Here is a 16,699-nt window from a genome sequence, read left to right as displayed (position 1 = left end):
AATAAACTTGACTCCTATGTTACCACCACAGACAAACTGAAAACCAATTCCAAGCAAAACAAGGATCTAAATGTGAAGTATAAAAATAAAATTTAGGCCGGGTGTGGTGGCTCACACCTGTAATCCCTGCACTTTGGGAAGCCAAGGTGTGTGGATCACCTGAGGTCATGAGTTCGTGACCAGCCTGGCCAATATGGTGAAACCCAGTTTCTACTAAAAATATAAAAATTAGTCAGGTGTGGTCGTGGGTGCCTGTAATCCAGCTACTCAGGAGGCTGAGGCAGGAGAAAAGCTTGAACCCGGGACGCGGAGGTTTCAGTGAGCCAAGATGGCGCCACTGCACTCCAGCCTGGGCAACAAGAGCGAAACTCTGTCTCAAAAATAAATTAATTAATTAATTTAATTAAATAACATTTATAGGAGGAAAAAAAACAGGAGAATATCTTTGTGCCCAAGGGGTAGGCAAAGATTTTTTAAACTAGATATGAAAAGCATAAACAAAAAGGAAACATTATGTATCTAGTGTATTAAAATTAAGAACTGTTTATCATAAGACACCATTAAGAGACTACAAAGTCAAGCCAGAAATTAGGAGAAGATATTTATGATACATACATAGACAAAGGACTCCATATCTAGATATATAAAACACCTTTATCAAGAACATACAAAAAATCCTACACATCAATAAGAGAAAAAGAGTCAACTAGATAGAAAAATGAGCAAAACTTGGAACCAACCAAGATAGTAGGTAAACGGATAAACAAACATTGGTACATCCATACAATGGAATATGATTTGGCACTAAAAATAAATGAGCAATCAAGTCACAAAGATATATGGAGAAACCTTAAAAGAATATTGCTAAATGAAATAAACCAATCTAAAAAGGCTACATTCTATATGATTCCAACTACATGACATTCTAGAAAAGACAAAATTATAGACAGTAAAAAGATGAGTAGTTGCCGAAGACTGTGTGGATGGTGGTGGTAGCGCAGGTGCCAGAGCGGCATGACTAGGTGAATGAAACACAGGGAATTTTTAGGGTGGTTAAACTATTCTATATGATATCACAATGATGGATACATGACATTATGCATTTATCAAAACCCAGAAAATGTACAACAGAGTAAACCCTAATGTAAACTATGGACTTTAGTTAATAATAATGTGGTAATAATGGTTCAACAATTTTAACAAATGTATCACTCTAATGCAAGATTAGTAACAGTGAATCCATGTGGGGCTGGGGTGAGGAAGAAGGGAGTACACAGAACTCTACTTTCTGCTCAATTTTTCTGAAAATCTAGAATTGCTCTTAAAAGAGCTCTTGAGTATGTATCTAGGAGTAGAACTGCTGGATACAGATAATGCAAACCAGTTTTCTATATAGTTATGTAAGAATCTGAGGCTGGACACAGTGCCTCACACCTGTCATTCCAGCACTTTGGAAGGCAGAGGCAGGAGGATCACTTGAGCCCAGAAGTTTGAGATTAGCCTGGGAAACATGGGGAGACCCCAACTCTACAAAAATAGTAAAATATTAGCTGAGCATGGTGGTGTGTGCCTGTTGTCTGAGCTACTTGGGAGGCTGAGGTGAGAGGATCGCCTGAGCTTGAGAGGTCAAGGCTACAATGAGCCATGACCACATCACTACACTCCAGCCTGGGTGACACAGCAAGACCCTGTCTCAAAAAAATTAAATTTAATTTGAAAACTAAAAGAAAGCAATCTGGGTGATAAAGACTCAAAACCCAGGGTTCTTGAACAATAACTAAAGGAAATAGCATATTTAGCTTAGAGAAGACAGGATAAACAAGACAGTGATGTGGAAAATGCTTAGAGAGAACTCTTACTTAGAAAAGGATTAGATTTATTTTGCGTATCTCTAAAAAGCAGAGTGGATACTGTTAACAGAACAGCAGAATCCCCACACTCTGAAAAGTAGGCATACAGAAACTCACGTCAGGAATATTAAAAAGGAATTTATTCTTGCTGTGGGCGAGATGTCAGACCTCCAAGATCCAACATAATATCTAATATATGAAAGATTTTCATGCAGAGCATCCTACAGTGCAAAGCCAAGTTTGGAAACCAATGAGGCAGTCTAACCTCCTAAACTTATAGGTGAGATCCAGGAAATTAAATGACTGTCCAGAGTTACCTACCAAGACAGCGGTAAAGTTAAGGCTAGATCTTCCAGTGCTAGCCCAGTGATCTTTTTATTACACCAGGACATTTCACAAACCCTAGATTGGTGTGGCAAGATTTGTTCTTAGTGACACATGCTTGGTCGTAAACAACCCGTTGTTTCCTCCTCTTTTTCCTTTAAGCTTTCTTTTCAGCATGTTCACTGATCACCTATTTAATAATCTAAAGATATGTCAGGAACCAATATTAAGTTTACCTGAAACAAACTTTCTACCCCATTTTATAAATAAGGGCTTTTCTTATATTCTAGAACCTCTCTCATTTTCCACAATTACTAAAGGACTCCTAGCAGAGATTTGGTGACCAGTTCTGCAAAATTCTTTCAGTATTATCGCATAGCATTTGTCTGGTATGGTCACCAGGATGTTTGAAAACTAGTTAGTTTATTTTTAATCTTCTTAACCATAACAAAGCTTTCATTCTGTTTTAATTTTTAATGATCCTACCTTTCCCAATTTAAATCTTTTTTTTTTTTTTGAATAGTGGGGGGAAAGCTTTCTTTTGCATTTGTTATATTAAAATAAGTGTGCCAAATGAGCATATTATTTTCTTATTCATCTTATTCTAAATATGAGGTTTAAAATGTCTTTCTTAGCTTTAAAAGCCTCAAGCTCGTTGTCAAGATAGTCTTTCTGAGGTTATTACAAATCTATACCACTTTTTTCATTTTCTTTAGTTATCCTAATTTTACTGAACACAAGATAATCTTTCAAATAATCCTTGGCCAGGCACAGTGGCTCATGCCTATAATCCCAGCACTTTGGGAGGTCAAGGTTGGGGAATCACTTGAGTCCAGGAGTTTGAGACCAGACTGGGCAACACAACAAGACCCTATCTATAAAAAAAAAAAATTTTTTTAATTAGCCAGGCAGGGTGGTTCATATGTCTGCGGTCCCAGCTACTTGGGAGGCTGAGGTAGGAGGATTACTTGGGCCCCCAGGGGGATGAGGCTGCAGTGAGCCGTAATCATGACACTACACTCAGCCTGGGCAACACAGTGAGACCCCACCTCAAAAAAAAAAAAAAAAAAAAAGGCCTGGTATGGTGGCTCACGCCTATAATCCCAGCACTTTGGGAGGCTGAGGCAGGCAGATCATGAGGTCAAGAGATTGAGACCATCCTGGCCAACATGGTGAAACCCCGTCTCTACTAAAAATACAAAAAATTAGCCGGGCGTGGTGGCATGCGCCTGTAATCCCAGCTACTCGGGAGGCTGAGGCAGGAGAATCACTTGAACCCGGGAGGCAGAGGTTGCAGTGAGCCAAGATCGCGCCACGGCACTCCAGGCTGGCAACAGAGCAAGACTGCATCTCAAAAAAAAAAGAGGAATCATTGTATCATTATGAAGAACTTCAGAAGGAATACCTGGGTCATGGTGAGTACTCAGTAAATATTGTTATTATAGCAAACCTCTTTTCATGTGAATGAATACAGATCAATATAATCACATTAATAATGGCCCTAAGCACTTAATGGTTATTACCATAATTAGGTTTTTTAATGTCTGGACATTTAAGTGGCTTTCAATTTTTGAATATTATAAACAGTGAAATGAACAAAGTTGATTATTTTAGGATAAAATCTGATCAGAAGAATCTGTGGATCAAAATAATATTAATCAATACAGGCACTGCTCAAATATTTCCAGCTGCATACATTCTGAGTGCATGGTATGATTGTATTCCCTACCCTCTTGTGGCTGGGTGAGGTACGAACAAGACTGTTTCTAGAGACAATAAATTTGATCAGAAATGCTCTTTGTTACTTCTAGGATGGGGCATTTTAATGGCTTGTGAAAGACTCTGCAGAGATTTCTCTCCCTCAGCCATGATGAGTGTGATGTTCCTGGCTGCTCCATCACTGAGCATGGCACAGAATAAGGCCCTCAGCTAACTCACAAGGAACATGTTGCCTGGGCAAGAAAGAAGCCACTGCCACTGTTGTTTTTAAGTCACTGAGTTTTGGGGTTGTCTCTTACATAGTAATAATCCAGACTATTCTGGCTACTATAAATGATATCCACTTTTGAAGATTTTGATACATATTGCTAAACTGCCAGAATGGTTACACATGGCCTTTTAGAATCTCAGATCAATTTCTGGGAAGATGGCAACATAGTCTTTGAATCTCCCCAGATCGTCACATAAAAACAGATGGACCAACTAGACAGCAAAACCAAAAAAATCTAAGGATCCAATTTACCACAGAAAAAGATAAAGTATTCCCACAATCCCAAAACATAATGCGTAGGGACAAACCAGGTTAATAGCCACAAAACCTGCATGATACTAGGGTTGTGCAGGAGGAATCAAAGAATGCAATGGAGTGTCTGATGGACCTAAGAACTCCCAAATTACTCATATATATTCACTGGAAAGCATGGTGTCAATCTGAGAATAAGAGCTAACGCTGGAAGGAGTTTTGCACAATCCAATAATATTAGAACACTCAAAACTGACCAGTCAGGCCTGCTGTCTAGGATAGGTGGTTAGAAAAACTATCCTAAACCAAACCATCAAAAGTTCAGGAAGGGCCAGGCACAGTGGTTCACACCTGTAATCCCAGCACTTTGGGAGGCTGAGACAGGTGGATCGCCTGAGCTCAGGAGCTCGAAACCAGCCTGGGCAACACGGTGAAACCCCGTATCTACCCCAAAATACCAAAAATAATAATAATAATAATTGGGCGTGGTAGTGTGCCCTGTGGTCCTAGCTGCTCAGGAGGCAGAGATGGGAAGATCGCTTTAGCCTGGGAGACGGAGGTTGCAGTGAGCTGAAATCGTGCCACTGCACTCCAACATGGGTGACAGAGTGAGACTCTATCACGAAAAGACAAAAAGTTCAGGAGAAGGTCGGGTGCAGTGGCTCACATCTCAGCACTTTGGGAGGCCAGGATGGGAGGATCACTTGAGCTCAGGAGTTTGAGACCAGCCTGAGCAACATAGCAAGACCCTGTCTCTACAAAAAATATATATTTTTTAATTAGCTAGGCACAGTGGCACATGCCTGTGGTCCCAGCTACTCGGAAGGCTGAGGTAGGAGGATCGCTTGGGCCTTGGAGGTCAAGGCTGCAGTGAGCCATAGTCATGCCACTGCATTCCAGCCTGGGCAACAGAGCAAGATCTTATCTCAAAAAAAAAAAACATTGGGGAAAACTAATTTCACATAAAAATTAGCAACATAAATATATCAAGGTCAAATCCCATACAAAGTTATTTTAAGAAAAAAAGAGAAGGAACAGAATGGCATTTCTACAGACAAGATAGATCAAAACTGTAATTTATTTCAAAACAGGCTATACGATATTAAGAAAATGATACAATACATGAAAGAAAATCTTAAGCTAGGGTGAGAAAAATCAGAAAAGAATTAGAAATAGAAGTAAAAATCATTTTAGAAATAAAGGATAAGCAGAAGGAATACAAGAGCAAAAAACCACACTCAAACAAGACTCAAAAATACTGATATCAAGAAGAAAACCAAAGCAAAGGAATGGAATAAATACTAATTAATAATGGCTGTAATTCAAGAAAACTTTCCTCAAATGAAAAAACTGTTAACAATACCCTATGCCAGAAGACAATGCAGTAATAATAGATTTAAAACACTCAAGAAGGCCGGGCACGATGGATCATATCTGTAATCCCAGCACTTTGGGAGGCCAAGGCAGGCGGATCACAAGGTCAGGAGTTTGAGACCAGCCTGGCCAATATGGTGAAACCCCATCTCTACTAAAAATTTAAAAACTAGCCAGACATGGTGGTGGGCACCTGTAGTCCCAGCTACTTGGGAGGCTGAGGCAGGAGAATCGCTTGAACCTAGGAGGCAGAGGTTGCAGTGAGCCGAGATTATGCCACCGCACTCCAGCCTGGGTGACAGAGCAAGACTCCATCTCAAAAATAATAAATAAATAGAAAATAAATAAAATAACTCAAAAAAATGTAAGCCAAGATTATTCAGAAAAACTAACTTTTAAGTGTAAAGGACACAAAAAAGCCATTACCAATATGCAAAAACTTAGGCCTTATTGTTCCCATGAGCATTTCCTGAGGAATCTATTAGACTCTAGTAACTAGAGAATAAGCTTCAGACAATGAAACAAATAAAGAGACAAAGATATAAGGACTGGTGGTGCACACTATATGAACAGTTATTTATAAAACCAAGACTAAGTGAGGGCGAAAGGAAGCACATAAAGTATATAATTACTATACACTCTGACAATGTACTTACTATGGTACATTTAAGAAATGTGAGTAAAACAAATAGCAAATGCTAAATTTTTTTTAACTAACTTCATAATCATATTGATAGTGGTAATGTTAGTATTGTTATTCTGAGACTATTATGTATATAATGTGGGGTAAAGATATTGAGTAAATTATGGGATATGCTAATTACATCTTCCTTTGACTCTGAAAATCAGTATTCTTGATGCAGAAGAAAGGAGATATACATGTAACATAAGAGGTTAAGTAAAAACTTCTAATTTTCAAATTGAATTGGAAATGACAATATGATTCCTGAAGTATTTTATCTTAAACAATATACACAAATAAAAATAAATTTATTAAATCTATATTTAAAAACTCTCCCCATCTATCCACTGAGCAGCCTAGAAATAATGTCCAACACTGTAGCAATGAGCAATCTTTGCATGCAACTATGGCCTTGAAAGATACGGCTGAGTGCAGGTATGAAGCAGAAACACAAAAGACCCTTAAACATCTTGTCATACCAGTTAGCAAGAAAGCCACCAAAAACTCCTAAGGTCTTTGGCAGTTTATTAAAAACTTAAACATATTTAACATAAGGCAGCAATTCCACTCCCAGGTACATGCTCAAGAGAAAGGAAAATATAGGTCCACACAAAACTGCTACACAAATGTTCACATCAGCATTAGTCACAACAGCAAAAAAGTAGAAACATCCCAAATACCCACCAACTGGTGAATGCATAAACAAGAATGTGGTATAGCCATAAAATGGAATACTATTCATCAATAAAAAACAATGATATACTAATAACAAATGCTACAATATTGATGAATCTCAAATACATTATACTAAGTGAAAGAAACAAAATAGGAAAAGACCACACATTGTATAATTCCATTTATATGAAATGTCCAGAATAGGCAAATTCATAGAAACAGAGATCAGGGGTTGTCAGAGACTGGAAGGAGGGGAAATGGAGAATGACTGCTAATGGTACAGCATTTTTAAAAATTTCTGGAGTAATGAAAATGTTCTGGAATTAGTGGTGATAGTTGTACAACTCTAAATTTACTAAAAATTTTAAGCACACTTAAAATGGGTGAATTTTTATGGCGAATATATATATATATATATATCTCAATACAGCTTAAAAAAAGAAAAATCCTAGGGCCCCCATGTCCTTTCATAAGAGTCAATACAAATGTGGTAGGCAGAATTCTAAGATAGCCCTCAATATTACTATCCCATGGTGTACACATGTGTATAATCCTCTTGAGTGTGGGTGAGTCCAGTGAATATGATAGGATACCACTCCTGTGATCAGGTTACTAATCAGTTGATTTTTTTAGTTAATCAAAAGGGAGGTTATCCTAACTGGAATTGATCAAACCAGGTAAGCTCTTTAAAAGAAGATGAATGTCAGAGTGATGGTCTCCTCCTGGCCTTGAAGACAACGCAAACTGAGAGAAAGGGGCCACTCAGCAAGGATCTGAGGGCAACCTATAGGAACAGACAGCCTACTGCACAAGAAACAAGGGTATCAGTCATAGCACAACAAGGAAATTTCTGCCAAAAACCAGTGAGCCTGGAAGAAAATCCTGAACTTCAGACGAGACTGCAACCTTGGATTGATTTTAACCTGGTAAGTCCCTGAGCATAGGACCCAGCTAACCTCCACCTGGACTTCTAAATCACAAAAATCCTAAGACATAAATTTGTTATTTTAGGTTGCTAAGTTTGTGGTAATTTGTTACAGAGGATTATACAACTAGAGCTTCAATAGGGCAATATTTATAAACATCAAGTATGTTTAAATCATGAGTTTATATAAGTTATTGAGAAATAAAACTAGTAGTTTACACCTTTGGAAGATAAGGAACCAAGTTATTATTTTTTAAAACACGCCAAAGGCCAGGCACGGTGGCTCACGCCTGTAATCCCAGCACTTTGGGAGGCTGAGGCGGGCGGATCACAAGGTTAGGAGTTCGAGACCAGCCTGACCAACATGGTGAAACGCCATCTCTACTAAAAATACAAAAATTAGCTGGGCATGGTGGCACGTGCCTGTAATCCCAGCTACTCGGGAGGCTGAGGCAGGAGAATCACTTGAATCCGGGAGGTGGAGGCTGCAGTGAGCCGAGATCACGCCATCGCACTCCAGCCTGGGCAACAGAGCGAGACTCCATCTCAAAATAAATAAATAAATAAATAAATAACAAAACAGGCCAAAAAAGGAAAAAGGTCAAGCATTCTTTTTTCTATATGAGCTGTACCACTAGGTCACAAGATATAGATAACGTCTCTTTGTAAATGTATTCCATTTCATAAGTAAAAACAAAATGACAGAATTTAAAGTATCACCATTCTGCAACTCCCAATGAGTTAAATCAATCTAGGTACTGAGTATCAACAGTTGCAAAAAAGAAAAAAGGCCAGCCATGGTAGCTCACGCCTGTAATCCAGCACTTTGGGAGGCTGAGCTGGGCGGATCACGAGGTCAGAAGTTCGAGACCAGCCTGACCCAACATGGTGAAATCCCGTCTCTGTTAAAAATAAAAATACGAAAATTAGCCGGATGTCGTGGCGCGTGCCTGTAATCCCAGCTACTCAGGAGGCTGAGGCAGGAGAATCACTTGGACCCAGGAAGCGGGAAGTTGCAGGAGCCAAGATCACGCCACTGCACTCCAGCCTGGGGGACAGAGCAAGACTCTGTCTCAAAAAAAAAAAAAGAAAAGAAAAGAAAAATGACAGAGAAAGAAAACCAGACATTTTGCACCTGCAATGGAAAAACACACCACCACCTATATTCTTGCCAGAAGAATCAAACTTGAGTTTGATTCAAGCCTCTGGACCTAGCTGCCAACTGATAGGCAATAACTGTACCAGGAATACACAAACACAGAGAACTCTACAATTCAAATGACCAAGTGTTCTTCAACAGATATTGCAAGTTAAAGAAAGGTATGAAGAGGGAACCTGAGATTAAGAGAGATTTAAAAACCGTACCAAATTTTTCTTAAATGAGCAAGACTAAACAAACACAAGAAAGTACTACTATAAAAGTCAGTACACTGGTTACTTTTGAGGGGATGGGAGTGTGATGGAGACAGGACACATGGGGTAGCTGGCAAAGTACTACTTCTTGACTTGGATGGTGATAATAAGAAAATATGCCTTATAATAATTTATTTTTGTTGTATATGGTTTTCTACACGTGTTTTTTCAATAAAAACATTAAAAATGAAAAAAATCTCAAACCAATAAACAATCAGATTCAAGATATAGTAACTTTTGAACTGAAAATACTTACCTATAAGAGATCTTATCATTTTAAAACATGCTATCCATAGTTGATCAGGTCTACGTATGGTTTCCAGCAATGCCAAAATGTAATTTTTAAAAAAATTATTTACTTAGTGTTAGAGACAGGATCTTGCTACATTGCCCAATCTGGTCTTGAACTCTTGGGCTCAAACAATCCTCCCTCCTCAGCCTCCCAAAGAGCTGGGATTACAGGCATGAGCCACCACACCCAGGATCAAAATGTAATTTGAACACCAACTATTCTTTTTAAAGAACACACTGGAGTAGCTTTACTTTTACTTTAAACACCCCCCTTTTCCTTTATCCCATAAACATCAGCCATGAACTTCAACTGGTCCAGGTGACATAAGATTACTTTAAACTAGACTGAAGATATTCTCTACAAGACTTAAAAACAGTAAATAAACCAAATAAATATTTAGTGAAAGCCTATTATATAATCAACACTATCATGTATTTTATGGAGACTACAGAAGCACACTCTGATCCCCTGAACTTAAGGAGCTTACAAATTAGTAGGAGAGATATTTACATGTCATATCTGTAAAAGAAATACCTGAGATGCTAGGTTCAGTCTCTCCCTAGAAAGAAAGCTAGATTGGTATTCCTATGCCCCCAGCCCATTAACAAGTCATTTCAATAGGCCAAACACTACTACTTTTACTCTTCTTTCATTTGACATGCTCCATCCTTTTGATGATTGTCTGCTCTTCTTTAGGCCTTTTTCTCCATTTTTTTTTTTTAAATAGATACAGGGTCTCCCCATGTTGCCCAAGCTGGTCTTGAATTCCTGGGCTCAAGTGATCCTCCCTCCTCGGCCTCCTAAAGTGATGGGATTAAAGGTGTGAGCCACTGCACTTGGCCTTTTTCTTTTTTCATCTTTTAAAAGGAAGAATAAAAGGGAAGTAAAGTTGAAAACCAAAAAATTCACTTCGGATTCAACACTAAGACCCCAGTAGGTAATCTGGCAAAGGACCAGAAGAGACAATGCAGTACAAAAAAAAAAAATAACCTCACATGGCTGGTAAATCTAAGTTCAATTTATCTAGTAACCAAAGAAATGCAAATTAAAATAATAAGATTGTTTCTGCCTACCAAAATAGCAAAGATTACAAAGTGATCATATTCAATGCTGCCTTGGGTGAAAAAGACCCACAGGTGGACATGTAATTTAATGCAAATACATTTTCCAGATTAATGTGTATTAAGATCCTTCAGATATTTCACGAATTTTGGCCTAGCAGCTCACTTTCAGCAATCTATTCTAAGGAAATAATCTCGTCCTACAGAAATTTAGAGAAAAATTTACGTATACCGATGTCCATATTACCAAAGATATGAAGAAAGCCATCTGAAAAACAGAAACTGCTTAAATATCAAACAATAGAGGAAAAAGTATGCTGAATATATTACATATACATAAATATCAATTAATGCGGAGATTAGAGGAAGCACATCCAAATTTTAACAGTGAATTATTTCTATATGAAGAGATTATATATATTTCCAAAACTGTCTACCACATGAATATATTAACTGAACAAGCAGGGGAGAAAAATCCTAGTATTTTCTATTTTTAAATTATTTCAAATGTTTTGTGGTTTGCTTTTGTCTATGATATTACCATTCTCCACTATCACTGACCACTAATAAGTATTGATCATACTCCCTAAAATATAAGAATAATCAGTCAGGTGTGGTGGCTCAAACCTGTAATCCCAGCACTTTTGTAGGCCTACGTGGGTGGGTTGCTTGAGCCCAGAAGTTCAAGACTAGCCTGGGCAACATGGACAAACCCCATCTCTACAAAAAAATTAAAAAATTAGCTGAAGTGGTGGTGTGTGCCTGTAGTCCCAGCTACCAGAGAGGATGAGGTGGGAGAATCACCTGAGTCCAGGAGTACAAGGCCGCATGCAGTAAGCCATGATCACACCACTGCACTCCAGCTTGAGCAACAGAGTGAGACCCTATTTAAAAAACGAAACAAAACAAAACAAAAAACCCAAAAAACCCAAAACAAAAAACCGTATACATTACCGGATAAAGAAAAGGGGAAAAAAGTGAAACCTTATAGAAGGCGTCATAAACATATCTGACCATGCATAGACACATCCCAAAAGTACTCAAGTCCTCTACAGAGTACCTAGAAATAAGATCAACAGACACAATAGTAGCAGTACAGAGAGGTAAGTTACAAAGAATGTAAAAAAACCTTTAGAAAGTTATACCAGAGAATTACTCTCAATCTCTAACTTAATGTTAAAGGAAAAACAAACTTTGGGTGAATTACAGCTCCGATCTGAAGAAACTGTCTGAAACCAGACAGAAGCACATAATCACAAACAGAAAAAAAAAATATTTTTTTTTTCATGAACCACACAGGAGACTTAAACAGAAAATTTTGCATGAAATTTAGAGGCTCTTCCCTTGAAAGCCTTCCAGGGTAAGAATCTTTCCTTTGCAGGAAAGATTATCTTCTAATCAATCAAATATTTTAGCTGAACTTTAGGGAAAAAAAAATCTCTCTCCCTCATAAAATTATTCAAATTTAAGAAACAGCACAGACCACTTTGATAACTAATTCTGATATCTTACAATTAGATAGTTTTGTCAAACAGAAGATTTACCTTTCCTGAAACGGATTCTCCGTCATAGAAGAGATAGTGTTTTTCTACTTTGCCATCTTCAGTTTTCATTTCTGCCATTTTCCTGGTTTCCCCATCATTAAGAACAATATCGATCTCACAAATTGGACCAAAAAAGCCTCCAAGAAAACTCTGAAATAAAATGAAAATGGTCATAATTATCATGTTTAGTCAGTCACTACATTTTATAATTTGAATTTAATTACCTATGAACTACGGTTAAATAGACTGCAAATCTGTGAGTTCATAAGGAAATGATAAAAACATATATCAAATGCTACATCAAAGGCCGGGCATGGTGTCTCACGCCTGTAAACCCAGCACTTTGGGAGGCTGAGGTGGGCGGATCACCTGAGGTCAGGAGTTCAAGACCAGCCTGACCAATATGATGAAACCCTGTCTCTACTAAAAACACAAAAATTAGCCGGGCGTGGTGGCATGCGCCTGTGATACCAGCTACTCGGGAGGCTGAGACAGGGGAATCACTTGAATCCAGGAGGCAGAAGTTGCAGTGAGCCAAGATCGCGCCATTGCACTCCAGCCTAGGCAACAAGAGCAAAACTCCGTCTCAAAAAAGAAAGAAAGAAAAAAAAAAAAACTACATCAAAACTGAACAACTTAAGTACAATGTTAAGAGGGTAGATTTCATGTTATGTGTTTTTAACCACCAAAAAGACCAAAAAAAAAACCCTAAACAAATTTCAGCATGCTATAATTTCAATCATTTCCATACAAAACCACTATAATCAAATATTAACATATGTCAGAAATCTAAGAAGTTAATTCTTAACAGCTAGGCTTGAAAAATTACCTTTATTTATACTTTTATTTATGAGGTTCTTTTATTATAGCAGAATTTACACAATTCAAAGTACTCACACAAATCCAAATGTACTACTATAATGCACTACTTACTGTAAAATCTACTGCTATATTTGGTCTGAACAGGATATGTTACACTGTGAAAGCCCTTGTAGTAAAACTGGCTATAATGAAGGAAAATAAAATTTCTGTGAATTTTTCCAAAGAAAATCTACAAGCCTTGTTCTATAAATCCTGAATATGACAAATATAAGGGACAAAGATCAATTGCTTATCAATGCCAAAACACATCAGTTGGTAATAATACAGAATCCATTAGCAATTTTGATACTGGATATAGTTATGGATTATTTTAGCCACAATGAAATTTAGTCTTCTAATCTTTTTAAGTTTACACAGAGAACAGTCTCCTATCATGTCATCCTACATCCCTTCATATTCTGTCCTACATAACAACCAGAATGATTTTTTTTTTGAGACAGAGTCTTGCTCTGTTGCCCAGGCTGAAGGGCAGTGGTGCAATCTTGGCTCACTACAAGCTCCGCCTCCCGGGTTCACACCATTCTCCTGCCTCAGCCTCCCAAGTAGCTGGAACTACAGCCATCTGCAACCACACCCAGCTAATTTTTGTATTTTTAGTAGAGACAGGGTTTCACTATGTTAGCCAGGACGGTCTCGATCTCCTGACCTCGTGATCCACTCGCCTTGGCCTCCCAAAGTGCTGGGATTACAGGCATGAGCCACCGCGCCCGGCCCAGAATGATCTTTTTTAAAAAAATTTTTGTAGAGACAGGGTCTCACTCTGTTGCCCAGGCTGGTCTCAAACTCCTGGGCTCAAGCAATCCTCCTGCCTCGGCCTCCCAAAGTGTTGGGATTATGGGCGTGAGCCACTGCACCTGGCTCTGAATGATCTTTAAAAAACATATCTGGCTGGGCGCGCTGGCTCACACTTGTAATCCCAGCACTTTCAGAGACCAAGGCAGGCAGATCACTTGAGGTCAGCAGTTCGGGACAAGCCTGGCCAACATGGTGAAGCCCCGTCTTTAATACAAAAATTAGTCGGGCATGGTGGTGCATGCCTGCAGTCCCAGCTACTCGGGAGGCTGAGGCAGGAGAATCACCTGGACCCAGAAGGCAGAGGTTGCAGTGAGCCAAGATCGCACCACTGCGCTCTAGCCCGGGCAACAGAGCAAGAATTTGTCTCCAGAAAAAAAATGTTCACAAGTGTTATTCATAATAGCCCCAAATAGAAACAATCCAAGTATCAATCAACAAGAGAATGGATATATGCAATTTAGTATATATTCATACAAATGGGAACACCAAACAGCAATAGAATTAGAGGAGATACAACTACACACAAGAATGAATCTCATACACATAATGTTGAGTGAAAGAGGCCAGACACAAAAGGAATACACAAAACGTACGTATAACTCCACTCACATAGTAAGCAAAAAACATGTAAGGTACATTATGGTGTTACAGGTCAGGCAGTGACTGAAAGAAAGCACAAAGGGAGCTTCTGGCTGCTAGTAATGTTCTGGCTGTTTTTTTTATAACTGAGCATTTGATACAGAGGTATTTCACTTGGTGAAAATTCATCAAGCTATACACCTATTCGTGTACTTTTTCATAGTTATTTTACTTCAGTTGTGATTTTAAAAACAGACACACACACAATGTATTCTCTAATGTGGTCTACATATATCTGACACTAGTCATCTCTCCAACTACTCAGCCTCCAACGTTCAGAGCTCTTTCTTCAACAGTTCCAATTTGCTAGTGTCCTTCTTGTCTTAGAGCCAAGCAAAGTATTCTTAACCTAATTCACCCTTTGAGTTTCAGTTTGACTCCCTCTCCATGAGACCTTCCTTGACTTCCTAATCAAAACTGGATTCTCCAAATTTAGGTTTCACAAGGCTTACTTAGTACCTGACTCTCCTACTGAACTGTAAACTCCATGAGGCTCATCTAAGGCAGCGTATGGCATTTAGCAGAAGGCATTAAAATACCTATTGAATGTTAATTTTGAACAAACACATACCATTTTAATAACAGAAAATAAACAAATATACAAGAGAAATTAACTGAAATCTGGAATAGTCAATAATATTAGCCTTTCTGAGCAAATTAGCATTGGTATAGTAGCAAACTATATCAATGGAATTTATATTAAACCTCAGTTCTGTCCTCACTTAGGAGAGTCATTAGTTTGCTTTCTGTTAGCTTGCTTTGTGGCTATGTAGGGCACAAGGTGATGCTATACTCAAATGAGATGTTTTCCTAAATCCTGTATTAACAAAAGGGATTATAATTTTAAGCAACCAACTAAAAGAATTACCAGATTAGTACTTTTGACATATGTAGCAAATTTTCTTTTTGGGCCAGGCGCGGTAGCTCACACCTGTAATCCCAGCACTTTGGGAGGCCAAGGTGGGCGAATCACAAGGTCAGGAGTTCGAGACCAGCCTGGCTAACACGGTGAAACCCCGTCTCTACTAAACATACAAAAAATTAACTGGGCGTAGTGGTATGCACCTGAGGCAGGAGAATCACTTGCACCCAGGAGGTGGAGGTTGCAGTGAGCCGAGATCGCGCCACTGCACTCCAGCCCTCGGGACAGAGTGAGACTCTGTTTAAAAAAAAAAAAAATTTTTTTTTCTTTTTGACACGTTTTAATCTTTTCTGGCAAAATTACAAATAACAAACTCGAATTTTAACCAGAAAACTAATTTTAATCAGAAAACTATTCTGAACTAATTTAGAAAAAAGAGAATGAAAATCATCAGTGATAGGTCACACACACTGTCCATTCCTAGGTGGCTTTCGTACTCCAAGTCTTAAACTCAAAATGGTAAATTCTGAAATACTGTAGTACATTTCCTCTAAGGGCTACAGAAATGAGAATGTATAGCAGCTTAAAATCATGCAGCTCACATTTACTAATCGAATATGTGCTGAGCTAGCAGGGTACAGGGGTTGTGTGGGAGGAGCAATCATGAAAGGGTAGAAGACAACATCTTCAAGTAGCAGTCTATTTTAGATGGAAAACAAAATCAGTTATATTGAAGGATAATGCTAATTGGCAGAGAGAGCAATAAGAATGAGCTCTCCTTCCTTATGACATCCACATTTATAACTCATTTGAGTTATAAAACAGAGATAGAAAAATTAAAATTAATTCTTTTTTTTTTTTTTTTTTTTTTTTGAGACAGAGTCTCACTCTGTCACCCAGGCTGGAGTGCAGTGGTATGATCTCAGCTGACTGCAACTTCTGCCTCATGGGCTCAAGCAAGCCTCCCACCTCAAGCCTCCCAAGTAGCTGGGACTACAGGCGTGAGCCACAACACCTGGCTCGTTTTTATATTTTTTGTAGAGACAGGGTTTCTGCCACATTGCCCAGGCCAGGCGCAAACTCCTGGGCTCAAGTGATCCACCCGCCTCAGCCTCCCAAAATGCTGGGATTACAGGCGT

At 38.6% G+C, this 16,699-nt stretch overlaps 1 protein-coding gene across 5 annotated transcripts in view; it reads right to left on the bottom strand.

The window, feature by feature from the left end:
* VPS26A (VPS26 retromer complex component A) overlaps window positions 1-16,699 on the bottom strand; it is a 50,235-nt gene that overhangs the window by 28,983 nt on the left and 4,553 nt on the right. For 3 of the 5 annotated variants that reach the window (NM_004896.5, NM_001035260.3, NM_001318946.2), the window contains exon 2: window positions 12,383-12,532. In NM_004896.5, the coding sequence (NP_004887.2) occupies window positions 12,383-12,532 (150 nt within the window). Of the gene's footprint in view, window positions 1-11,792; window positions 11,899-12,382; window positions 12,533-16,699 lie in introns of all 5 variants that reach the window. The other 2 variants (NM_001318944.2, NM_001318945.2) reach the window with 2 other exon arrangements.

Source organism: Homo sapiens, chromosome 10 (assembly GCF_000001405.40).
Source record: "Homo sapiens chromosome 10, GRCh38.p14 Primary Assembly".
Taxonomy (NCBI): Eukaryota; Metazoa; Chordata; class Mammalia; order Primates; family Hominidae; genus Homo; species Homo sapiens.
Note: the sequence above shows the minus strand (reverse complement) of the source record. Positions and strands in the feature narration are given on the sequence as shown.